This window comes from Homo sapiens, chromosome 2 (assembly GCF_000001405.40).
Source record: "Homo sapiens chromosome 2, GRCh38.p14 Primary Assembly".
Taxonomy (NCBI): Eukaryota; Metazoa; Chordata; class Mammalia; order Primates; family Hominidae; genus Homo; species Homo sapiens.
Window position 1 is genome coordinate 67134861 of NC_000002.12, and position 26250 is coordinate 67161110.

Below are 26250 nucleotides of genomic sequence, written 5' to 3' on the forward strand. Positions count from 1 at the left end.
ATGTTAATCGAAACATTCACTAAATAACAGAAAAAAGGCAAGACTATAAATAATAATGCTACTTAAGGCATATAGAGTTACTTTTAGAAAACTTGAAGGTATAATTTTGTTTCCGTCCTACAGGAAGACTAATAAAAATAAAACCCTCTCTCAGAATAGACCATTATTGCTTACGACATCTGTGTCCACATGTTGCTCCAAAAGCAATGGCCACTGATGCCTCCATCTTGGCGTGGGGCATCCCACGTTGGCTGCCATTTTGTGTTTCTTCCTGTGTAACAACAGGCCAGCAGCCTATATACAGCTGTTTTTATCAGCTATAAAAGATAATTTTGCTGTATTAACTCCATAAGTTTGATAGAGCCAGCAAGACTTCTGTGGCATAATAGCTTAATTTTTCATTCTAATAATAACTGCCTGCCAGTTGAAATGAATAGGAGCAAAAACAAACATTCCTATTCTATAACATGATCCGTGACAGATGTACCACTTAGGAGGCCCTGGGCAGGAAAGGCCCGTCCCCCTCCAATTCTGCTCATGGCATTAAAAGCATGAACACTAGGGAGAAATTCTGACAGGAAAGGAACTCACCAGAAAGTGGCCTGGCTGTCCCACACTTAAATCCACAATTGGCTGGAGGCCTGATTTAAGATGAGGCACATTTTAGATCTTTACATAGTGCTGTGTTTTTTTCTCAGTCGCAGTCTTCTTCAGCTTTGAAGGTTCCCTGGAAAATTCTAGTCTATTTTCTTCCCTCTTTTTTCTTTTCTCCCCCACCCTTCTACCACTATATGCATAAAAAGTGAATAATTCAATTATTCACCTGTTTGTATAGATTTTTTGGTTGACAACTTAAAAGTGTTTCTTCTTAAATGCCAGGACAAATCTTGATACATTTAAGTGAAAATAAGGTCATGCAAGTTTGTGCCAACAAGCTACTCAGGCTTTATGTAGTTATCGATTTGTCTACCTAATGAGACTGAATATCAGCAAATTGTTTTTCATTCTTTATAAGAGAGATCACTTTCTGGAAGGAAAATTTAGTGAATTCCAATGCAAATTTACTATTTTGAGAATGCAGTGGATTTATTTTCATCAATAAATCAACATTTTCATTTACTCTTGTTCTCCCTTCCGTTTTTTTTTGCAAATGATTTTGATCCTTCATCCAAGAAAGCTCAAAACCTTTTAACTCTCTTCTTCATTAGATTATCACAATAATTTTTCCTTTCCTTTTTATATGTTTTTCTATATTTTCAAGGTTTTCTAAGAGAATATCTTTTGCTTTTTAAATTGCAAGTGGAGAGATTTCTAGATATATAATTTTTAATATACCTTTCAAATTATTTAACAACTTAATGTTATACATATGGAAATTTACAAAAGAATACCTCAGCATAACTGATAGGTGAACTGTGCACAATCCCATTTTACAGGAAACAGTACTAAGCTGGGAAGAGGATAAAGGATCATGTAGAAATCCATTGTTTTAAAACACCTGTATTACAGAAGAGGCATTTTTTCTTGATGATCTTGAAAAGTTTATACTTCTCCTCATCCAGTCAGTATTAATATTAACCACTTGTAATGATACCATAAAAAGTACTTCCTTAGAAGGTAGTACCAAACACAATTTTCTATGCTTCTTTTTTGAACTATTTTTCCAAAATAATTTCGAACTCACAGAAAAATTGTAAGAACAGTAGAAGAAACTTCTGAATATTCTTTACCCAGATTCCAAGTTAACACTTTACAACATTGCTTTATCATTCTTTCTATAGATATTTACATATTTTTTCTGAACAGCATAGGTGTAGCTGCATACAATGTATCTTCTGACCCCTAACACTTTAGTGTTTATTCCTAGAAACAAGTTTTAAATTCAGAAAATTTAACACTGATTTAATGCTATTATCTACTCTACACTGTATATTTCAAATAAATTGTTTTAGTAATGTCCTTTATAACAATTTTCCCCCAGTACAAGATGCAATCCAAGATCTCTTTAGTATCCTTTAATCTGTAACAGTTCATCAGACTTACTTTGTATTTCACATCTTTGAAATCATTGAAGAAACACAGGCTGATGTTTTATAAGAATTCTCATAATTTTTTTTTTGCTATTTCCTTATTATGTTCAGGTTATGTATTTTAGCAGACATACTACATAAGCAATGCTTTCATACCAGATTATTATATCAGAAGGAACATGATGTCCGTGTGCCCTTTACTAATGATGTTAATTTTGATTCCTTGGTTAAGATACCACTGCAACAAACATCCCTATTACCAAGAGGTAAAGATTTGTCTGCAGTTTTTTTTTCTTTCTTTGAAGACTAAGGATACATAGTCAAAACTGCATTCAAAAGTCACTTGTATTTTTTTTCTTTAAGTATAGCTATTCTGTTTGAAATAAGTTGAATTCTTTTGTTTATCTTTGCATTGAGTTTTAGGTTTTCCCCCAACCCCTAGCCTTGTTAGTTTTATTTTTTGAATCTCCAGAGTATTTATGTCATTACAAAAGTCAAAATTACACAAAAACACTGTACTTAGGAAAAAATTACCCTCTTCCCTATAAATTCCAACATGAACTCATTTCCATAAAAAATTAGTTTTAGAAGTTTCTGGTTTATCCTTTTTTAATATAAAAATAATCATGTTTTCTTATTTCTCCTTTCTCCCATAAAGGGTAGCATGCTGTAGATACTTCTTTGCACTTTGGTCTTCTCCTCTTAATAATAAGTATCGAAAATCAGTTTCTATCAGTTCATAGAAATTTTCCTCATTCCTTTTTACAGTTAGATAGTACTTTACCATGTGTATGTTCCATAATTTATTCAATCTTCCTTGCTCAGGCAATTTAGTAATTGCCAATAGTTTCTAATTACAAGTGATACTTGTTAGAGGTGTATCTTTAGTCTAAATTGCTAGAAGTGGAATTTATGGGCCAAATGACTTTGTAGTTTTGTTAGATATTGTCAGATTCCCTTTTAAAAGAGTCATGTTTTGGATTGCAGCCAACAATGAAAGAGAATGTCCATTTTCCAACAGGTGTGTCAACAGTATATTGTTAATCTTTTGTGTTTTTGCCTATCTAACCAGTGAGACCTAATATTTAGTATATTTTAATGTAAATTTAAATTTAATAGTATTCAATATACTTAAACTTGAATTTCTCTTTTATAAATGAACAACTTTTAGTAGATTTGAGGGTCATTTTCACATTTAAAAAATATCTGTGTAGATACTTTGCTCATTTTGAACATAGCCTTTTTTCCTTCATATTAAAAAGTTCCCTGCCTGTTAAAACATCAGCACTTCAAGATATCTTGTGAATATTGTTTCTGAATTTGCCATTTGTGTTTAGGCCATTACTTGCAAATGGTTTGATTATTTTTATGTAGCAAAATGTGTCAGTCTTTTATTGCTTCTCATTTTTGAATGATAGTTCAAAAGCTTTACCGTAAAACTAAGTTACAAAGGCACTTACTGATGCTTTAATCTAATATTTATACATTTTTACATTTAAATTTCTGACTCATTTGGAGTTCGTTGTTTTCTGTGGTTTCAGGAGTTAGTTTACTACTTTTAATTTTTTTTCCAAGTGGGTGTCTAGTTGTCTCAAAATCATTTATCAAAATGTCCAGTTTTTGTTTTCTTATTTTTAATAAAATGGTCCTTCTTATGGAAAAATATGAGTTTGACATTCAAAATGTGTTAACCAACCTAGACTTTCATCAGGCTTTCCCTATTACTATCCCAACCGGAAACAAAAGACTGGGCCCAATAGCTGCCCCAGAAGAGAAAGTCTTAAGTAGTTAATTATTAATAATTTTATCCCTATTCTCTAAATAAATTCTTGGTTTCAATACAACACTCATTTGTATTCAGGAAGCACCTGGCCTCTTTAGAGCAATCTCTGATGGTTTGCAAGGAGCTTTTGTCTTGGATTAAATTAGTGATAGAGTTAAAATATTGATACGGACATTACCATTTCCTTCATGATAAAATAAATGCTTTCCAAATAATAGTGTAATCATTAATGCCTACGCGTAAAAGATAAAGAAAAAAGTCCAGTTTTGTTCCTGATTTGAGATACCACTTTATCACATAGTAAATTTCTGTATGAACTTGCGTCTATGTCTGGTGGTTCTCTTCTAGTCTGTTGATCTGTCTATTCAGGTATCAGTACCACACTGCTTCAATTATAGAGGTTGTGTAATGCATTTTAATGTTCGTCAGGACTAGCACCTACCCTTTCCTCAAAAAGCTTTTCATATTTATTATTTTCCTCAATATTTTTATATCATCACTTTTTGCATAAAATAGCATCAATTTTTCTAGCTCTAGAAGTAAAGCTTGTTGGTTTGAGAACACATTCAATTCATATATTGGGAGAAAGTGACATCTTACTGATGTTGAGACGTCCTTTCCATTTGTAATGTGTACTTTTCTGTCTTTCAGGTGTGTTTTATAATTTTCTTCAATGTTTTTCACATTATTTTGTTAAGTTTATGCTTTAGCATTTGTATTGTTGTTGCTGACAACATACTAGATTTTTATTCTTCCATTGTATCTTCTAAAACTAGTTATTATTGGTGTATTAGTCCGTTTTCACACTGCTATGAAGAACTGCCTGAGACTGAGTAATTTATAAAGGAAAGAGGTTTAATAGACTCACAGTTCTGCATGGCCAGGGAGGCCTCAGGAAACTTATAGTCATGGCGAAAGGAGAAACAAGTACCCTCTTCACAAGGTGGTGAGAGAGAGAGAGAGAGAGAGAGAGAAAGAAAGAGAGAGAGAGAGATCAGGGTAAACTGCCACATTTAAACCATCAGATCTTGTGAGAAGTCCTTCACTATCACGAGAACAGCATGGGAGAAACCTCCCCCATGATCTAATCACCTCCCACCAGGCACTCCCTCCAAATATAGGGATTACAATTCGAGATGAGATTTGGGTGGGGACACAGAGCCAAACCACATCAATTGGTATATATGAAGACTAATGATTTTTGCCTGTGAATTTATAGCCTGCTACAGTGATGAATTACTTTAAGTTAGTTTTACCATTGATTATTTAGGGTTTTCCAGCAGGTATATATACTATCACTTCATCAGCAAATAAAGACTGTTTCACTTCTTTATCAATTTGTGTGTCTCTAATTGTTTAGTCTTGTCTAATTACAATGACTAATGATTTCAGAATAACATGAAATGTAATGGGCACAGTGGACATATTGGCTTTTTCCTGATCTCAGTGGAAATTCTTCTGCTTTCCTGTTAAGTAACATGCTGGCTTTATAATTGTAGCATATGTTTTTATCAGGTAGCCATTTATCCTTTTTCAAGGGCTTTTTAAATTAAGAATTGGTATTGAATTTGTCAAATGCTTTTTCAGCTTCTATGAAAAAAGACAATTTTTTTCCTTAGACTTAGTAAAATGGTGATTGATATTCAGATTTTCCATGATCAAAATTTACATTCTTGATACAAATAACACTTGGTCATGACCTTTTTTTTGGATACTTTTCTATTTGTTAATATTTACTTAGAATCTTTGTTTTAATGTTGATGAGTGGTGTTGGTTTGTAATTTTCTTTTTTTTTCTATTAATATCAAGTCTATGTATTAATGTTATACTAGCGTCATATAAAGAATTTCAATGTTTAAGTTTATTTTTTATGCTTCCAGACATTTTATATAGCATTTGAACTAGTTAATTACTAAGTACTTGAAATAATTATGAACTATTTGGGGATAGTCATTTTTGTAGAGTGGTTCCCTGTCAACTTCTTTCTTTTAAAAGATCTCTCAGTAGGTTTGTTTTGGTGAACTCTATTTTGCTTGGAAATCATACATTTCATCTAGATTTTCAAATTACTTGTGTGGAGTGAAAAGTAATTTCTTACAGTTTTAAAAAATATTTACTCTGAATCAATAGTTATTTATTCCTTGTAATTTCTTATTATGTATATTTATGCTTTATCTCCTTATTTCTTGATTAAATAGTGGCTTGTGTGTGTGTTTCAAATACTTTTTCTCAAAGAAACAGGACTTTGGTTTATCAAATTGATCTACTGTTTTACTATGTTCTACTTCATTAATTTGTTTTCTTTTTATTGATTCTTTCCTTGTGCTTCTTCCTGTTTACTTTGTTTTTCTTTTTCTAGATTTTTAAGTTGGAAATTGAATTCATTTATTTTTATTTTTAAGTTTTTACTGATATTGGTGTTTAAAACTATAAATGGTTTCCTGGTAGCTGCTTTAAATTTATCACTTAGATTCAAATGTATAGTATTTCATATCATTATTTTTTAGTATTCTAATTTTTGTTTGTATTTCTTCTTTCACTTAAGAGTAAAGGTTTTTTTAAATTTCCAAGCAGAATGGGTTTTAGTTTTATTTTTAGCTTTATTTCATTGAATCAGGAATGTTAATTTTAAAAATATTTTGAAATTCATGAAATTTTCTGAGCAACTTATATGATCAATGGTTGTAAATATTTTGTATGCACTTAACAAGAATCCCCATTCTCAATTATTATGGCATAGTGTTTGATATATTTCCAAAAAATCTACCTTACTTATTTTGTTTAGTTCTGCTACATCTTTACTCATATTTTAATACAGTTGATGTGTTTTACATGAAGAATGGAACGTTAAAATATCCTTCTATCAGTGTTTCTATTTTTATTTGAGTCAAAAATATCCATAACTGTTATATGTACATTATAAATTGCTGCTTAAGGTTCTCTGTCGTTTCAGCAGCATCCTTAATTTTTCTCCCACTTCATTCTTTCTTTTCACTGCCATATCTCAAGGGTCACACCTTTTATGTCTATATCTCCTAGAAACAATACTTCTTTTAGGCTTCAACCTCTGCTCCTCCTCACATTCAAGCCCCTTTTCTGTAAATGATGCAGTGAACCACTCAGGCCCAGGTCTGTGCTCAGTATTGGTCTTTCTCTTTCTGAGGTAGATTTTGCCTATGCTTCGTTGATGACATTGAATCCTATCTACTTTTTCATATGTAGTCACAAAGGATTCCCCTCCTCCCTGTTCTCTTCAACCAAAGGCTTGTAGAGGCAAAGGAAGCTCTGATGCATTGTAGTATGTATTTCTCTACTTCCAGGCAATATAAAGTTTATGATATTCTCAATTTCTAGTAGTAATGCTGAAGGCATGGATCCTGTGTGGTTTTATTAAGCAAGATCCTGTTGATCTTGTTTGTTATTTAAGATCATGTATACACAGAGAGAGACTTAGGCAGCCACCATTTTCTTAAGCCAACCTCTTTTAACTTGAGTTGGAGGCACTGGACCCTCTGAGTAGAATGTGCTTTTAAATGTGGTGTTTGCTGTAAAAAGTAAATGTTCTTACTCTGTTGCTGAGTTGACCCTTCTAATGCTGTTCTCCTCTGGCACATAATCAAACATTTAGAAAAAAGTTTCATGTGAATTTTTGCATAATCATCCTTCTATCTCTTAAGTGTTTCTTTTTGGAATGGGACAGACATTTCCTGATCCAATTTGTAAACGAAGATTATCTGTTGGCTTGAGTAATGTCTGCATCTTTCTCCCAAGAAGAAGGTCTTAGGAAGACTCATATTTTCAATTTTAAGAAATTTCATTTTAGCACTCTCCTTTTCTCCTGATAAAAACACAGTGAATATTAGGACTACAAGAAATTTGAAAAGCTTGGGCTTATATAAAATTAGCTTGAATATAATGTTCTGTGCAACTCATAACAAATTATCATTTGAAGGTAAATCAGTCCTTTGCTCATTGTTCACACTGCCAAAACACCTAAGCATAAATCTATGTATTTAATAAGAATAATCAGCAACCACAGGAGCAGCAAGCACTAGAGAAAGATAAACATCAAGGAGTACAATAAAGTAATGTACATTTAAAATTTCCCTTTTATATCTGGAAAGAGCTGTTATCTGCTACTGTTTAAAAAATACTCACAGGTGGGACAAGGAATACAATTCCAATCTCGTGTGTAAAATTAATAAGTATTAAATTCAGGAAAATTTTTGAAATAAAATAATGAGTTTATGCTGACACATCACAGAAAACAGCCTTTTTTTAAAGTTTTATGTTCTATTCTGTCAGCAAACATGCCTGAAACTTTAGGATCTTTGAATGGCAGATCATTCTGTAGACAAATATTTCAGTGCATTTGGGTACCCTTTTGACGACATTGGTCATATTGGCTAGACTTGGCTAATTATTTATTGCATAGGAAGTGGTGGTGGTAAATATACATTCCATGCAAAACTCTTAGTGACTGGTCAGTTCAGCTGAACATATACTCAAAAACAAAATAAGTTAATATGCTCTTAAATAGGAATCTGAATAACCTATCATATAGTATCAGTAAATATCTAAAAGATAGTTTGTTCATTTATGTTATGAAGTTTAAGACCTCACCTAAGCTCTGTAGTTTGTCTTACCCATATAAAAAGCAGCAGGAATTTTGCCTATAGACAATCCAGCACTGAAGAACCTGATAAGGTAAATTATCCCTGAATTAAATAATGAGTGGTGTAATACAATACTATAACCACATCTGTATTTCTGAAAGAAAGAGGTAAGAGATATGAGTAGCTTACATGAGCACCTACTTACTCCAGTGTGTCTTTTTCATTTCTTTAGTTACTTCAAGACCTGCAATTAGCCCACAAAATCCTTCAGGTTCTCAGTAGCCAAATAAAGTAAAATTGCAGTTAACCCAAGGTGGAGCATTTTGGTCATTAGGAGTGGTGGTTAATTGTGTTATTTTTGTTACTAATTCACAGTAATCACTTTCTGTTTCAGTATTCTTGCTGAAATACTTTGAGAAAATAAATTAACTTAATTTCTCCACTCAGTGAGAGATAATATAAATAAAGTTGTACCGGTATAGTAGGACATATGCTAGAATTATTTCTTTGTTAAAAAAAAAAAAAACCTGATCTTGGAATCCAGAATAAATAATGCTTTACATATAACAAAGCCTTCAATAAATATGTTGAGAGGATGAATAATTAGAAATTGCATCTCCATTTAAATGGAACACAAAAATAGTTCATTATGAGTCTTGTTAGCAAAGTTCTGGTTAAAAGTATTTTAAGGCAATTGGTTCTAAATCCTCCTTAGCAAAGAGTGAATGTTTTTATAACATCCCACTTAGGATCACAAGGCCTGCCAATTCATTAGGGTGTCTGTGAAATAAGGGATTTAGATGAAAATTTTAGGGTTCATTAACAACCTCCACTTCTAAGAATAATTAATCTTTTTATTGTGAATGATAACCAAGCTCATGTACAAACTCTCTGAATTACTAATAACCCTGGCAGGAGGTGTGTATTAGTAAGGTCTATAGTAGGTAAGCCTAAGTGTTAGTTGATGGAATCTTGAAGAGAAACAGATTTGTTCCTGTTGAAATGCTATTATCCTTGGGGTGGTAGACAGATGAAAGAGGAATTCACTTTGTTAATAATGTGTAGCATTCTAAATCTGCTAATAGGTCATTTATTTATATGGCTCTTGAATGACTACCTTTGGGAAATCCCAAATGATTTCAATTAAAGTGGTCATTATGGAAGTCAATAATTATGGTGGTATTTGAGAGGCAGTTCTTTTGTAATATGAGATAAATGAAGAGAAGATATCACCAAAGCCTTAGGGACTTGGAAAGTGACAAGAAATATGCAACAATATTTAATGTACATGTTAGGACATATTTGAAACATGGCTGTGATCCTTGTGGCCTCATCAAAAGTTTCTTAACTTGATGATCCTGGAAGAAGTGTGAATATGAGTGTTGGAAGCTAAGCAGTGTTGCAGAACAAAAGCAGTGCCTTTGGACAACAGTTGCTATGCATGAGGGAAATTAAATCATTATAATCCTATGGAAGCAGAAAGTAAAGTGACAGAATTGGCTAAGGTGTTCCTGCAAAGAACCCATGTTTGCATCTTCTGATGCCCAAATATAGTCCTTTCACTGACCTCAACACCTGCCTCACACTAGATTTTAGAACGTCCTTGATACGGGTTCAGTACTAACTTCCCACTTGCTGTCTGGCTGTACTTTTTCAGCTCACAAAATGTAACTATTTATTGCTGGTAAGAGATTATTGGTCATACTCTTAACGTTATTACTGAATTATGTGGTACAAAGTAAATATACTACTGTATTTCTTTGTTTCCATTTTCTGCATTATGTTGAACATGACATTATTTTACCAAAATCTGCCCACTCCCAGCTAGCTCACTGTAATATTTTTTATTCATTTACAAAGAATAACTTATTTTAGCCAAAAAACAGGTACAGCTTGTGACTCAAGAGGATAAATTATTCATAGCCACTGAACCATGTCTTTGCTTGGTTTCTTAGAGTTCTTTGAGAGATTTTGTGGGAATTATCCAAAACTTCTACCTCTTCCCATTCAGTTAATTGTCACTGAATTCATTTTTTCTTTTTCTATTTGTTTACTTGCTTATTTATTCATTCATTTATTTTAGGAAGAATATTTAACATGTGATCTATACTTTTAACAAATGTTTAAGTGTACAATACAATACTGTTAACTATAGGTATGATGTACAGCAGATCTCTAGAACTTATCTATCTTGCATAACTGACATGTTATTCCCATTGAATAGCAACTTTCTGTTTCTCCCTCCTCCCAGCCCTGGAAACCCCCATTCTACTCCCTGCTTCTATGAGTTTGGCTATTTCAGATACCTCATGCATTCTTACATTACCTAGATGAAACCCAGGTTCTGTTTAAGATCTAAGCCAAAAGGGGAGCTTGAAACCTCTGTGATTTTATGATCTTTCTAGTCATAAAGATATCTAAAATCAGTTTAAGATGTTTATGAAAAATTTTTTAAATTAAAAACTTGAACAGGAAAATTATCCACGAACAGTAGAGAATGTGTTTTTCATGCTTTTCACTATACACTTAATAGCAAAGTGTGAAACGATCATCTTTCTAACACCTAAACTAAGACTTTGTCTGCAATGATTTTGGCTTTTTCTGTTCACTCTGTCAAGACACTGATCACCCTATTCAAGACCAATGCATGCCACTGGAGAATGTCAACAAAAACCTCCACCCAGTTGTGCTGTGTAAGATTTGGAAGCGCTGTTTCACAGTAGGTTGGTGATCCAACACTCAAGTACTAGACATCCCTGGATGACTCAAAGCCCATGAACTTGATATCTGAGACTAAGCTGACATAACAGAGGTAAAACTCCTATCTTATGATGCCACAATCCTATCTTCTTTTAGAGGTTATTGAACAGAGTTTTCTGTATCCCTGAGTGCAGAAATACATACTGTATTCTTATATAATTTCTTAGCCTATTTTATTACCTAGCTTCACATTACCAATTGATTCAGGGAAGCTGAATCAATACTTTCCAAACATAAGCAGTTGGAATTTGAGTTTGCCTGAATTCCAGTGCCTGAGCCTATCACTGTGCTACAGAAATCCATATATCCTTTATCTAGCCCAGTGTTATAAGATGGTTAGACCCCCCTGAATATGAGCAACCAGCACTATCCAGCATGTTTGGATTGTAGCCAGGCCTCATTGCATGCTTTTCAGTACTAGGACTTCCTCAACAACTGTGATACTCAATGACTACTGACTCCCTCTGCAACCTGTGCTACCACCACATTTTAACCTCCATTGTGCCACAGCTACTTACCAAGAAGATATCAGGGTCCATTGAGGTCTGTGTTGCACAGGGTCAGCTCTGTCCAGACACCACAGGATGTGTTGTTCTGTCTTGATTTTTCCTATAACAAACCTGCTAATGCCTCAAAGCAGTTTAATCAACAATGATCATTTTTATTATCAGCAAAATATGTGCCCCTACCTCGGTGTTCACATAAATAATCATCGAAAGCAGAGGTACTTAATGTAGTTTTTAAGGTAAATTTATTTGTTTAAGTGAAATATGATATGGGGTTGCCCTAGTTGAAGTAGGAATGGAGGATCCAGAACACTTCCTTTTGGTTCTTTTCTTTGCTGCTCCACCTTACCCCTTACTATTGAATTCCCTGAGATAGCTTCAGGTCTGAGCTAGAAATTCTCAAAGCTCCAGTTGACCTTCCTGACCCCACCTTAGCAGCTGAATGCTGGTGAAATATTTACCATCTATAAGCAATGCCTCCTTAGGGAAAGACCAAGTCTGAGCCATCTCTGGTTTATCTGACAATCCCAGCAAAGCAGTGATTGCTACATAGAAGCCATCTGCTCCACTGTGGTTCCCATGCATGGTTTTCCATCCTGGATCATGCTCTCCTGCTGTTCCAGGATAACCCCACACACCCTGCATCAGGATGTGATCCTAGTTTCTATTGAAAACCAGCACCCTGACTCCACACTAACAAGAGCTGAATTGAACTAGACTTCTGATGGTTCCAAAGCAGAACTCAAATACATGGTTGATTTGGAGAGATTTTTATCCTGAGACTCAACTTTAACATGAGTGGTACACTTAATCCAACACAAAGGTGACAATTAGATAGATATAGTGCATAAACAAGAGAAAATCATTAGGAAAAACTTTTATGAAGTACCTGAAGCCAGTTTCCTGTAATCTAACCAACTTCTTTATCTGTTCATTTCAATCTTTCATTAAACAACAATTTTCAGAACATCTTCTTGGTGGCACTTCATAAACTTTCAATACCAGTTGGCACTTTTTCTTCTGAATGTGGCTATTTAGTCACAGATTGTACCTGCTGGCCATTGACCTTTATCTAGGACTGACCCAGCACTCTCCATCTCTGCACAGCCACCACCTAAAGCCACCACAAGCATTCAAATTTCATTATTGTCATATGGAGCATAACTATGATGAGTTATTAGAAACATATTTCAGGTTTCTACTAAAGTTGGTGCCTCTTATTGCAAGTATAATATCATTTCATGAAAAAGTATGAGAAAAACTTTTTTCTTTGTCTAAGTAAACTTTGCAAACAGTATGCCTCTAAAAACAAAGTATAGGACACAATAGAGATATAAAAGAGAAGGGGAAACTGTACATGGGAAAATGACTTTGAACACTTATAAGTACACTTATAAGTGTGTTGATTACACACACATATGTATATATGCACACAAAATATATAAATATAAAATATATATAAGAATGTACATGTATGTACATACAATGTATATGTATAGCAATATATGCACAAAATTCCTAACCATACCTTTAAATAGTTGTTTTCATGTTCAAATACATTTTTCCTGTATTATTTTCACCTGGGTATTGAAAGGCTTTAGTATAAAGAAAAGGTACTAAGTATAAACACTAGTGCTGAAGAGACGCAGAGCAAAATAGTGGAATCGAAAGTTTCACCAATTGTTCCCGCCACCACCCCCAGCAAGACACCAAGTTTACAACTATCTACATAGAAAAAATACCTTCGTAAGAACCAAATATTAAGTGAGCACTCATAGTACCTGGTTTTAACTTCATGTCTCTGGAAGAGGAATTGAAGAGATTAAAAAAACAGTCCTGAATCATTGACACCACGGCAGCCATGGACTGGTGTGGAGAGCATCTATGGGTGTTGAGAGAGGGAAAACACAGCAATTGTGAGGCACAGAACTCAGTTCTGCCCTGTTAGTGCAGAAAGGAAAACCAGACCAAACTCAGATGATGCCCACCCACAGAGGGAGCATTTAAACCAACCCTAGCCAGAGGAGAACTGCCCATCCTAGTGGTCTGAACTTGAGTGCTTGCAAACCTTGCTTGAAACAGAGATATGTGACCTTTCGGACAGAGAATTCAAAATAGCTTTTTTGAGGAAATGCGAAGAAATTCAAGATAACACTGAGAAAACTCAGAATTCTATCAGATACATTTAAAGAGGTTGAAATTATAAAAAAGAATCAAGCAGAAATTCTGGAGCTGAAAAAGATAATTGGTATATTGAAGACTGTATCAGAGTCCTTTAATAGCATTGCTTTAATGAACTGAGCAGAAAAAAGAAATAGTGAGCTTGAAAACAGCTATTTGAAAATACACAGTCAGAGGAGACAAAAAAAAAAAGAATAAAAAGCAATGGAGCATGCCTACGGGATATAGAAAATAGCCTCAAAAGGTCATATCTAAGAGTTACTGGCCTTAAAGAAGAGGTAGAGAAAGAGAGGTAGAAAGTTTATTCAAAGGGATAATAACAGAGAATTTCCAAACCTAGAGAGAGATACCAATATCCAAGTACACGAAGGTTATAGAACACCAAACAGATTTAACCCAAAGAAGACTACCTCAAGTCATTTAATAATCAAACTCCCAAAGGTCAAAGACTAAGAAAGAGTACTAAAAGCAGCAAGATGAAAGAAACAAATAACATGCAATGGAGCTCCAATGTCTGGCAGCAGACTTTTCAGCAGAAACCTTACAGGCCAGGAGAGAGTAGCATGACATATTTAAAGTGATGAAGGAGAATAACTTCTACCGTAGAATAGCATATCTGGTGAAAATATCCTTTAAGCAAAAAGGAGAAATAAAGACTTTCCCAGACAAACAAAAGTTGAGGAATTTCATCAGTACCAGACCTGTCCTATAAGAAATGCTAAAGGGAGTACTTCAATCCAACAGAAAAGGATGTTAATGAACAATAAATCATATGAAGATACAAAACTTACTGGTAATAGTAAGTACACAGAAAAACACTGAATATTATAACATTGTAACTGTGATGTGCAAACTACAGTATCCTCAGTAGAAAGACTAAATGATGAACCAACCAAATCAAAAATAATAACTACAACTTAATAACTTTGAAAAACATAGTACATTAAGATATAAATAGAAACCAAAAGCTAAAAAGTGCAGAGATGAAGTTAAGGGAGTTTTTATTAGTTTTCTTTTAGCTTGTTTGTTTGTTTATGAAAATAGTGTTAAGTTGTTATCAGGTTAAAATAATGGTTTATAAGGTAGTATTTGCAAGCTTCATGGTAACCTCAAACCAAAAAACATACAATGGATTAAAAAAAGTAAAAAGCAAGAAACTAAATCATGTCAGCAGAGAAAATAACCTTCACTAGAGGAAGACAGGAATGAAAGAAAGGAAGGAAGAGAAGACCACAAAACAATCAGAAAACAAATTTTTAAATGGCAGGAGTAAGTCCTTACTTATTAATAATAACGTTGAATGTAAATGGGCTAAAGTCTGCAATCAGCTAGTACTGGAAGTCCTAGCCAAATGGATGAAAAAGTTAAGAGCCATTAATCTGTTGACTACAAGTAATACATTTTACCTATAAAGACACACATAGACTGAAAATAAAGGGATGGAAAAAATATGCTAGTGGAAACCAAAAAAGAGCAGGAGTCATTATACTTATATCAGACAAAATAGATTTCAAGACAAAAACTATAAGAATTGACAAACAGTGTCACTATATAAAGATAAAGGGAACAATTCAGCAAGAGGATGTGACAGTTTTAAAGATATGTGCACCCAGGTCAGGCGCGGTGGCTCATGCCTGTAATCCCAACACTTTGGGAGGCCGAGGCGGGTGGATCACAAGGTCAGGAGATGGAGACCATCCTGGCTAAAACGGTATCCCATCACTACTAAAAATACAAAAAAAAAAAAAAAAAAAAAAATTAGCTGGGCGTGGTGGCAGGTGCCTGTAGTCCCAGCTAATCAGGAGGCTGAGGCAGGAGAATGAACCTGGGAGGCGGAGCTTGCAGTGAGCAGAGATTGCGCCACTGCACTCCAGCCTGGGTGACAGAGCAATACTCCATCTCAAAAAACAAAACAAAACAAACAACAACAACAACAACAAAAAGATATGTGCACCCAACACTGGAGTACCCAGACGTATAAAGGAAATATTATTGAGCTAAAGTGAGAGGCAGGCCCTAATACAATAATACTGGAAACTTCAACACCCCACTTTCAGCACTAAGCAGATTTTCCAGAAAGAAAATCAACAAAGAAACATCAGACTTAATCTGCACTATAAACCAAATAGATCTAGTAGATATTTAAAGAACATTTCATCCAAGTGCTGCAGAATACACATTCTCTTCCTCAGCACATGGATCATTCTCAAGAATAGATCATATGTTAGGTCACAAAACAAGTCATAAAACATTTTTAAAAATTTAAATAGTGTCCAGCATCTTCTCTGACCACAATGGAATAAAACTAGAAATTAGTAACAAGAGGGATTTTAGAAACTATAAAATGCGTGGAAATTTAACAGTATGCTCCTGAATGACCATTGGGTCAATGAAGAAATTAAGGAAATTGAAAAATGTCTTGAAACAAATTATAATGGAAACACAACATACCAAAACCAAAGGGATACTGCAAAAGCAGTACTAAGAGGTAAATTTGTAGCTATAGGTGTCTACACCAAAAAAGAGGAAAAACTTTAAATAAACAATCTAATGATGCATCTTAAAGAACTAGAAAAGCAAGAGCAAACCAAACCCAAAATTAGTAGAAGAAAAGGAATAATAAAAATGAGAGCAGAAATAAATGAAATTTAAATGAAAAAATACAAAAGATCAATGAAACAAAAAGTTGGTTTTTTGAAGTTAAAATTGACAAACATGTAGCCAGACTAAGAAAAAAAGAAGATTCAAATAAAATCAGAAATGAAAAAGGAGACATTATAACTGACACTGCAGAAATTCAAAGAATCATTAGTGCCAACTATAAGCAAGTATATGCCAATAAATTGGAAAATCTAGAAGAAATGGACAAATTTCTAGTTACGTGCGACCTACCAAGATTGAACCAGGAAGAAATCCAAAACTTGAACAGACCAATAACAGGTAACAAGATCGAAACAATAATAAAAAGGCTCCCAATAAAGAAAAGCCCAGGACCTGATTGGCTTCACTGCTGAATTCTACAAAATATTCAGAGAAAAGAACTAATACCAAATCTACCCAAACTATTCTGAAAAATACAGGAGGAGGGAATACTTCCAAACTCATTCTATGAGGCCAGTATTACCCCGATACAATAACTGACAAAGACACATCAAAAAAAGAAAACAATAAGCCAATATCTCTGATAAATACTGATGCAAAAGTCTTTAACAAAATACTGGCAAACCAAATTCAACAATACATTAGATCATTCATCATGACAAAGTGGGATTTATCCTTGCGATGCAAGGATGGTTCAACATTCAGAAATTAACCAATGTGATACATCATATCAACAGAATGAAGGATAAAAACCATATGATCATTGCAATTGATGCTGAAAAAGCATTTGATAAGATTCACTATCACTTCATGATAAACCCTCAAAAAATTGGGTCTAGAAGGAATATACCTCAAAATAATAAAAGCCATAGATGACAGACCCACAGCTAGTATCATACTGAATGGGTGAAAAACTGAAAGCCTTTCCTCTAAGATCAGGAAAATGACAAGGATGACCCTGCCACCACTGTTAATCAACATAGTACTGGAAGTTCTAGCTAGAGCGATCATAGAAGAGAAAGATATAAAGGACATCCAAATTGGAAAGGAAGAAGTCAAATTATCCCTGCTTGCAGATGATATAATCTTATGTTTGGAAAACCTAAGCTCCACAAGAAAGTGATGAGAACTGATTAACAAATTTAGTAAAGTTGCAGGATAAAAAATTAACATACACAAATCAGTAACATACCTATATGCCAACAGTGAACAATGTGAAAAAGAAAGAAAAAAATGTAATCCCATTTACAGTAGCCACACATCAAATTAAATACCTAGGAGTTAACCAAAGAAGTGAAAGATCTGTATAATGAAAACTATAAAACAGTGATGAAAGAAATTGAAGAGGACACCAAAAAATGGAAAAATATTCCATGTTCATGGATTGGAAGAATCATTATTGTTAAAATGTTCATACTACCCAAAACAATCTACAGATTCAATGCAATCGCTCTCAAAATACCAATAACATTCTTCACAGAAATAGAAAAAAAAAATACTAAAATTTATATGGAACCACAAAAGACCCAGAATAGCCAAAGCTCTCCTAAGCAAAAAGAACGAAACTAGAGGAATCACATTACCTGACTTCAAATTATACTACAGAGCTACAGTAACCAAAACAGCATGGTACTTGCAATAAAACAGACGCATAGACCAATGGAACAGAATAGAGAAACCAGAAACAAACCCACACACCTGCAGTAATCTCATTTTTGACAAAAGTGCCAAAAACATACACTGGAGAAAAGGCAGTCTTTTCAATAAATGGTGCTTAGAAAACTGGATATCCATTTGTAGAAGAATGAAACTAGACCCTTATCTCTCACCATATACAAAAATCAAAAAAGGATTAAAGACAAATCTAAAGCCTCAAACCTTGAAATTACTACAGGAAAACATTGGGGAGAATTTTCAGGACACTGGTCTGGACAAAAATGTATTGAGTCATACCCCACAAGCACAGGCAACCAAAGCGAAAATGGACAAATGGGATAACATCAAGTTAAAAAGCTGCTGCACGCAAAGGATACAGTCAACAAAGTAAAGAGGCAACCCACAGAATGGAAGAATATATTTGCAAACTACCCACGTGGCAAGGGATAAACAACCAGAATATATGACCTCAAACAACTATATGGGAAAAAAAAATCTTATAATCTGATCAAAAGATGGGCAAAAATTTTAATAGACATCTCTACAAAGAAGACATACAAATGGCAAACAGGCATTTGGAAAGGTGCTCAATGTTATTGATAATCAGAGAAATGTAAATCAAAACTGCTTATCATCTCATCCTAGTTAAAATGGCTTATATCCAAAACACAGGTAATAAGAAATGCTGGTGAGGATGTGGAGAAAAGGCAACCCTTGTACACTGTTAGTGGGAATGTAAATTAGTGCAACCACTATGCAGAACAGTTTGGGAGTTTCTCAGAAAACTAAAAATTGAGTTATCGTATGATCCAGCAATCCCACTACTGGGTATATACCCAAAAGATAGGAAATCAGTGTATATCAAAGAGATATCTGCACTCTTATGTTTGTTGCAGCACTGTTCACAATAGCCAAGATTTGGAATCAACCTAAGTGTCCCCCCTCAACATACAAATGGATAAGGAACATATGGTACATATTCACCATGTGGATATGTGTATCAGCCATAAAAAAACAATGAGATACAGTCTTTTGCAACAACATGGATGGAACTGGAGATCATTATGTTAAGTGAAATAAGCCAGACACAGAAAGACGAACATCACATGTTCTCACTTATTTGTGGGATCTAAAAATCAAAAGAATTGAACTCATAGAATAAGGATGGTTACCAGAGGCTGGGAAGTGTAGTAGGGGGCTGGAGGAGAGGTGGGAGTAGTTAATGGGTAAGAAACAAAATAATAAGAAAGAATGAATAAGACCTACTATTGACAGCACAACTGAAGAATTATAGTCAATAATAACTGTACATTTTTAAATAAAGAGTATAATTAGATTGTTTGCATCTCAATTGATAAATGCTTGGAGTGATGGATACCCAATTCTCCCTGATGTGCTAATTTCACATTTCATACCTGTATCAAAACATCTTATATAACCCATAAATAGATACACTTTTTATGTACCCACAAACATTAAAATAAATAAAAATAAAGATAAATACTAGTGCTAATAGTTCTTATGAAACAGACATAAAAATCAAAGACAATGTATTAAAAATCTCAAAGTGGTCCTTTTTTATATATATTAAATACAAGAGTAAAATAGGTACATTACTAAAGATGTATCATTCCATCCAAAACTGTATAATGGTTTGTTTCTCAGTCATTGTGGTTAAAACCATTTTTTTAATGTAGGAATGTTCTGTGAGGAAGACATTTTATCATCTCTGGGTCTTAACCTGAGCATTTGGGGTTTTACACAACTTCTTTTCTCTACAAAGAACACATCCATCCTTCTTTAAAAAAAACACACAGAAGTTGTAAATGCACAGAAGTCATAAACATACAGAAGAGTCATTAAATGGTTTCCTTGCTATTTAGTTTTTAAACATTTTATTCCAACTGCCTGAGGAGCCATTATTTTTCTTAATGTGATAGATTGCAATAATGGATATATTTGCCCCCTTGAGTTGCTGAATAAAGCTGTGCATACTACACATTATCAGTTTCCAAAGATTCTATGCAAACCCCTTTTTTGTATTGGCTTTTGTGGGTTCAGAGCTGCTGAGCTGTACTTTGAGAAAAAAATATCAAAGTAAAACAACTGAAACCATGAAGCTTCACAGCTCTATGTTATTATACATCAATTTAGACTTGTTTAAAAAAAATAGGCTGTTGGTTTACAATAGTTTGGAAATCTTTAAAGATTATTGCCTGAATATTTGGTTCTGCGTTACAGGCCAAATATAACCCAGAGTAGCCTAAATGACATTTTACTAGCCTAAAGTTCTCATAATACTAAACAGTTCAGTCCCTTTTCTTTGGGTTCTTATTTTAAATTGTGCTTATAAGAACGAGGCCATGTACTCTGGAAAAATTCCATACTTTTAAAAGAATAGTATTGCAAGATGTCAAGAATAGTATTGCAAGATGTTAGGACTCTCTTCCAAGATGTTTTGTTCACACCATTTATTCAACGGATATTTCTTGAGCTCCTATGTGATGCCTGGCATTGTTAGGCAGCAGAGATATGATGATGAGCAGGTACCAACTTGCCCTCAAGAAGCTTACAGTTAGCTAATAAACAGATATGTGCAAAGAAGAGTTAGAGGTGCAAAGGAAAGAGAAAGTATAGGACTGGAGGGAATATTAACGAGGAAGGGGAAAAGTCCACATGAAGATGGTTTAGAAAATTTTCATAAAAGAGGTATGCATTCTGGGCTGCATAGTGGTAGCAGTGAAGAACAGGCAATTCTCAAAATAGACTCTCTGGATTCTGGGTTTAAATCTTGAGTCTGCTATTTCATAGTCATATAAATTGAGTAAGTTACCTATTTCTAATATCAAAGGCTCAGACCCCTAAACAGTAAAAGGGGACTGATAGTGGTGTCTTCCTCATAGTTATTGTGAGGGTGAAATGACAAATTCCAAAATGTAAAGTGTTTATATCTGGAAAGTCTCAGTAAATGTAGGTTGTTACAAATCTTGAAAGATAACTAGTTTACCAGGCAACAGAAGTGAGGCATATCAAATGGTCCTTCCTTAGAATATATAGGAAGAACATATTTTCCACTAATACATCTAAGGAAATTAAAGCAGTAATACATTTTAATAAAGGCAAATATTTCCAAAGGCCCTCTTCCCTTTTCTGTCTGTTCACAAATAGTTTGAATAGGTGCTAAATGCAGACTGCTGCTTGAATGGGACTATTACACCAGGTTGTTGACAACCTGGTGTTATGGACTTACAGACTGCTATGAACCAAACTGCATAATGGGAGTTAAGACAGTGGTTTGGGAACAAACTAGAAATAGAGTGTAAAGATACAGTTTTGTGTGCCAAACATGATAGAAATATCTATCAGAAAGAAAATGTAGCCTTTTTGAAGATAGCTTGGCAATATAATTTCAAAACCCTTACAAAAGTCCAGAATTCTTGACCCAGTAATTCCCTTTGTAATCTATGTTAAGCAAACAACTTGAAATGCCGTAAAGAATTTAAGTACAAAGATGCTCATTACAGCATCAGTTGTAATGGAAAAAAATGTTATTGATATGACAGTCAGTTGTGGTCTAAGAGGCTTTTCATAATACAGGAAAATATTCAAATTAAAGTGTAAAATCAAGAAGGCACAATACTATCTTAACTATAGAAAATCCATAAAAGAAACACTAGAAATAAATAAGTCAAAGTAACAATGATTTCTTCTGGGTGGTGGAAATAAAGGTAACCTTTTGTTATTCTTTTTTACTTTTGGCATTTTCAAAATAAGGTACATACATTGTTTTTAGAATAAGGCAAACAAAAGACTGAAAAAGGAGAGAAAAATTCAGTGTAGTTCTATGAAATTCCTCAATGAAAGAATGTTCAAAGGAAGAATTTTAAGTGACAGTTTCTCTTTGGCCATTCATCTTTATCCATCAAACTGTCATTCGTGGCCTTATACATCCTTTCTTTGCTCTGAGTCGTGTAAAATCATTTGCTTTCCCAACAATGCATCCACTGTGTGGCACCATCTTTTTTGCATTTACTCATATCCTCATGTTCTGGCCTGGGAGGATCTGAAAAATCTGTCCCCGGAGCATAAAATGCCTTTTCCAGCAGAGACTTGAGATGGAAACCAATCACTGACCAGAGTCTTTTTTGGGAAAATGATGCTCCTCTATTTGTAGCTGTGAATAAACTCTTGCTCAATTTGACTACCAAAAATTATTCCTGTGTGTTTTTTCTTCTGTTTGTCATAGTTAACAGAGAGGTATTTCCCACTGCCATATTTGAATTTTATGCATAAACGCATAGATGCTGAAATTCAGCCTTAGGCCTTCAAGAAACTCCGTATGTCGGCTTTCTGTTTCAATCCCATATGCAGCTCAGGTAGAGTATGTGCTGCAAACTGCATGTGGCCTGAAGAATGATCACTGGCTTGTTTGGTTTTGCTTTGTTTGGTTTTTTATGCTAATAAGTGTGCACTGTTGACTACTATAGTCACAAGTTAAGTGAGCTGGTAAAGGCAATGGGAAATGCAAATCTGAAATATAAAATGAAGCAGAAAACATAGTTCATACCTTCAAGGTGTTTATATTCTTTTGCCACACTATCTACTGTAGCACTAGCCACATGTTGTTATCAAGCATTTAAAATGCAACTACTCCAAATGAAGGTCTGCTGTAAGTTTAAAATATAAAACAGCTTTTGAAGACTTAGTACAAAGAAAAAAATGTGAAAATGTGAAAGATCTAAGTAATGTATACTAACTAAATATTGAAATAATATTTGGCTATATTAGGTTAAATAAAATATATTAGGAAAATTAATTTCACATTTTTCATTTTTCTCTTTTAATTGTGGCTCTAGAAAATTTTAAGTTACATATGCTGATTACCTTTGTGACTCATGTTATATTTCTACATAAAGACTCACCCACATGAAAATTAAATGATCAGACAAAAATCAATGACAATACTGAAATATAAACCTGAGCAATATTAAAACAAATATATAGTGGATTTATAAATTAGCAATAAGGACTATAAATATCATTAGTTCAGAAGAAAAAAAAAAGATGGCCATGGACAAAGTGAGGACAGCCTTGGAAAATGTGTTCAGAAATTCACCATGGTCCTTCAACTTAATGGCCCAATCCACTCTGGTGATTGTTTGCTCTTACTTCCTCCAGTGATGTTTTGGTCTAATTCCTAACTTTTTAAACATTAATTCAGTGTCTTGGACTTCTATCCTACACTATGATGCTGTCTGTCTGACTCACTTCTAAATTGAAGTGCATATATAAAAAAAATTGAATCACTCCAATGATTTTAAATCACTCTTCAATGTGCAGAGCAATTTAAAATTACTGGAGTGCTTCCAATTTTTATTAGTCCTTGAATTTGGAAGTGATCTAGGCTTTTCTGGGCATGTGCAATGCACTGTGACTTAAAATTATTAAGCTCTCATGCACCCCCACCCTTATTTGTAAGAAGCTGATTTCACTTTGCAATGGAAACCATCAGGAGGGTATGGCATGGAAATAGCATGGATAACAAAAAACACAGGTGGAAAATAGCTTCCATTTAATAATGAGAACTATACTTTGTAATTAGAAAGTGTCTTGCCCAAGGATCTCTAAGTGCTTCATAAACATTAGCTCATTCATCATGAAAACATCTTATTGGAGGCATATTTCCAGTGTGGGAGGGTGGTGATAGGGATGGGCAAAGCCATTAGATTGGCTTAAAACATTGAATTGGGTAATTTGAATGATGTGAGAACTATGCCTAGGACATTTATTTTTGGTACTGCTTTATTTTTCTTTTTTCTTTTTGCAAGGAGAAGGAGGTAATGTTACACTGTCTGGTCCATTTGCAAATGTCATAAAAAATTAACTTGGCAATGCAGAATCTACTAAATAAATTGCTTATCCCAAATAAACTCCAGGAGCACACATAAAATGATTGGTTTCCTAATTTAATTACTTTAGTTAAACTTTGGAAGAAAATACATAAACCTTTCCACTATTTTCTTTCAATTTAATTCCTTCCTGTTTAGCATATGCTGAATTCACTGAACCTAAAACATTCACCTGTAAGATGGTTTATCTGAGAATTTTCAAGTCATAGGCTTTTCCTCTGTTACAGTTATATGAGAACTTTTAATCAATATAGGAGTGTAGTAAAACCTTTATTGTAGAAGTGGCCTAATTTAGAAACAAGAAAAAGAAATTCAGTAAATTTTTAATGTTGACTAAGAAGTGTGCCTGCTTGTTCTTCACTATTAAGGAATCGATTTTTGAGACTTACTATGATAAGCGCATGATGCTAGGCATTGAAAACATTAACAGTGAATCTGGTAAAATGAAGCCTGTGAACAAACAGGCTTATTTAGAAGGAAAGATTTCAAGTGGTCTCACTATAAGATAATACACTGGTAGTAATATGTAATATGTCTCACACAAAATAATAGTATGAATTACCCAGAGCATTGACTGAGTTCTTGACAAAGGCCATGTGTTTCGTTATCTGTTATAAACAAACAACAGTAACAACAATAAGTAGTAAAATTAGAGAAAGAGGTGTTTAAGGGCCCACTCCTGCAAAAGGCTATAAGAAATAAAAACCAGGTCCAACAAAGTGACCTCTATAGAAATGACAGAACTGGCCATAGTTGTTTGCTTTAGACAACATACAAAATCATATATATGAGTATAAAGTTTTTCTGTCAATTCATGCAAAGAATCACAGTTCATTCTTCCAAATTCACAATGGCAAGGTCCTGCAGAAATCCAGGGCCACAACTCTCTCACCCAATTCAGTAACATCTCAGCAAAGGTGATCTTAAAGCAGAACCTAACATGAAATATGTGTGTATTGTTGTTGTTGTTTTAAATCCTCTTTGGAACATTATGACCCATAGGCGGAAATAGAATTTACAGTAATGCCAAGGATTAAAAGGAATGAGCCTCTTGTTTAGAAAATTAGCTAATCAATATGCCAAGCTTATTTTTAAAAATGCTTTAATTTTTTAAAATACAGCATGTCCGCTCTAGCTTCCTGTATTTGACTCTGATAATAAAACTTTCAGTATGACTAATGTAGTTTAGCTAAACAAATTAGAGAACTGCATCGTTTGTGCTGAGGAGAGTTTCCATTAGCCATTGTGATGTTCTCTTCCTGGTCAGTGAGTAATGACTGTGATCCAGGCCAGGAGAGCGAGGTTTATGTTTTTTGATGGAGAGACAGGAATCAGTGAGCAAAGACTACAGGAAAGGGAGGGCCATGGTTTCTCCACTCAGAGACTATAGGCTGCTTTGGGAAGAGAGAAGAGAGGAACAGACACGAGCATCCCTCCTATTTTCTTGGTTGCAAAGCTCCTGCTATTTTTAGTTAATGGAACACAAGCTGAATGTCAAAGAGAACCAGGGGAAGAAGCAGGGATACCCAGAAGAACTCACTGTACTGGACTCTCCATTCTTCCCAGCATCTCTGTAGGCCTCGGCCTGCATGCTAGGGGATATGTTATGAGTTGAATTGTGTGAATACCCCCAACCATGATGTTGAATTCCTAGCCTCCAGTACCTCCAAATGCTACCTTATTTGGCAAAAGGGTCATTGCAGATGTAATTGGTTAAGATGAGGTCATGCTGGAATAGGGTGGGCCGTTAGGCTACTCTGACATTTTTATAAGAATAGGAAAGATGACGTGAAGACAGACACCCAGGGGAGAAGTCCATGTGACAGCAATGAAAAAGACTGGAACCATGTAGCTGCAAGGCAAGGAATGCCAAGAGTTGCCAGCCACCACCAAAAGCTAGGAAGAGGCGAGGAAGGATTCCACCTACAGCCTTCAGAGGGAGTATGCTTCTGTTAACACCTTGGTTTTGGACTTCTAGCCTCCAAAACTGTGAGAAAAGACGTTTTTGCTTTTATAAGCCACACAGTTCATGGTACTTTGTTCCAGCATTCCTACAAATCTAATACAGGGTATGAGGAATTACAGAATTTTCTGGAAGTTCCCTGTTGTCAGAGAGGCTGAGTATGAATGGCTGGGACTGAACTAGAAAGGAGACCTCAGTTTCATAGTGATTTTCCAGAAACTAACTTTTTGCCCCGGTCAAATCAG

At 34.4% G+C, this 26250-nt stretch overlaps 2 long non-coding RNA genes across 2 annotated transcripts in view; one reads left to right on the top strand and one right to left on the bottom strand.

The window, feature by feature from the left end:
- The window catches only part of LINC01828 (long intergenic non-protein coding RNA 1828), a 202799-nt gene that overhangs the window by 48415 nt on the left and 128134 nt on the right, over window positions 1–26250 (top strand). The window lies entirely within an intron of this gene.
- LINC01829 (long intergenic non-protein coding RNA 1829) overlaps window positions 1–26250 on the bottom strand; it is a 91963-nt gene that overhangs the window by 11504 nt on the left and 54209 nt on the right. Inside the window, exons 5-6 of the long non-coding RNA NR_038844.1 lie at window positions 13477–13577; window positions 11708–11798 (exon numbers count right to left, since the gene is read on the bottom strand). This is a non-coding gene — a long non-coding RNA (long intergenic non-protein coding RNA 1829). The remainder of the gene's footprint in view (window positions 1–11707; window positions 11799–13476; window positions 13578–26250) is intronic.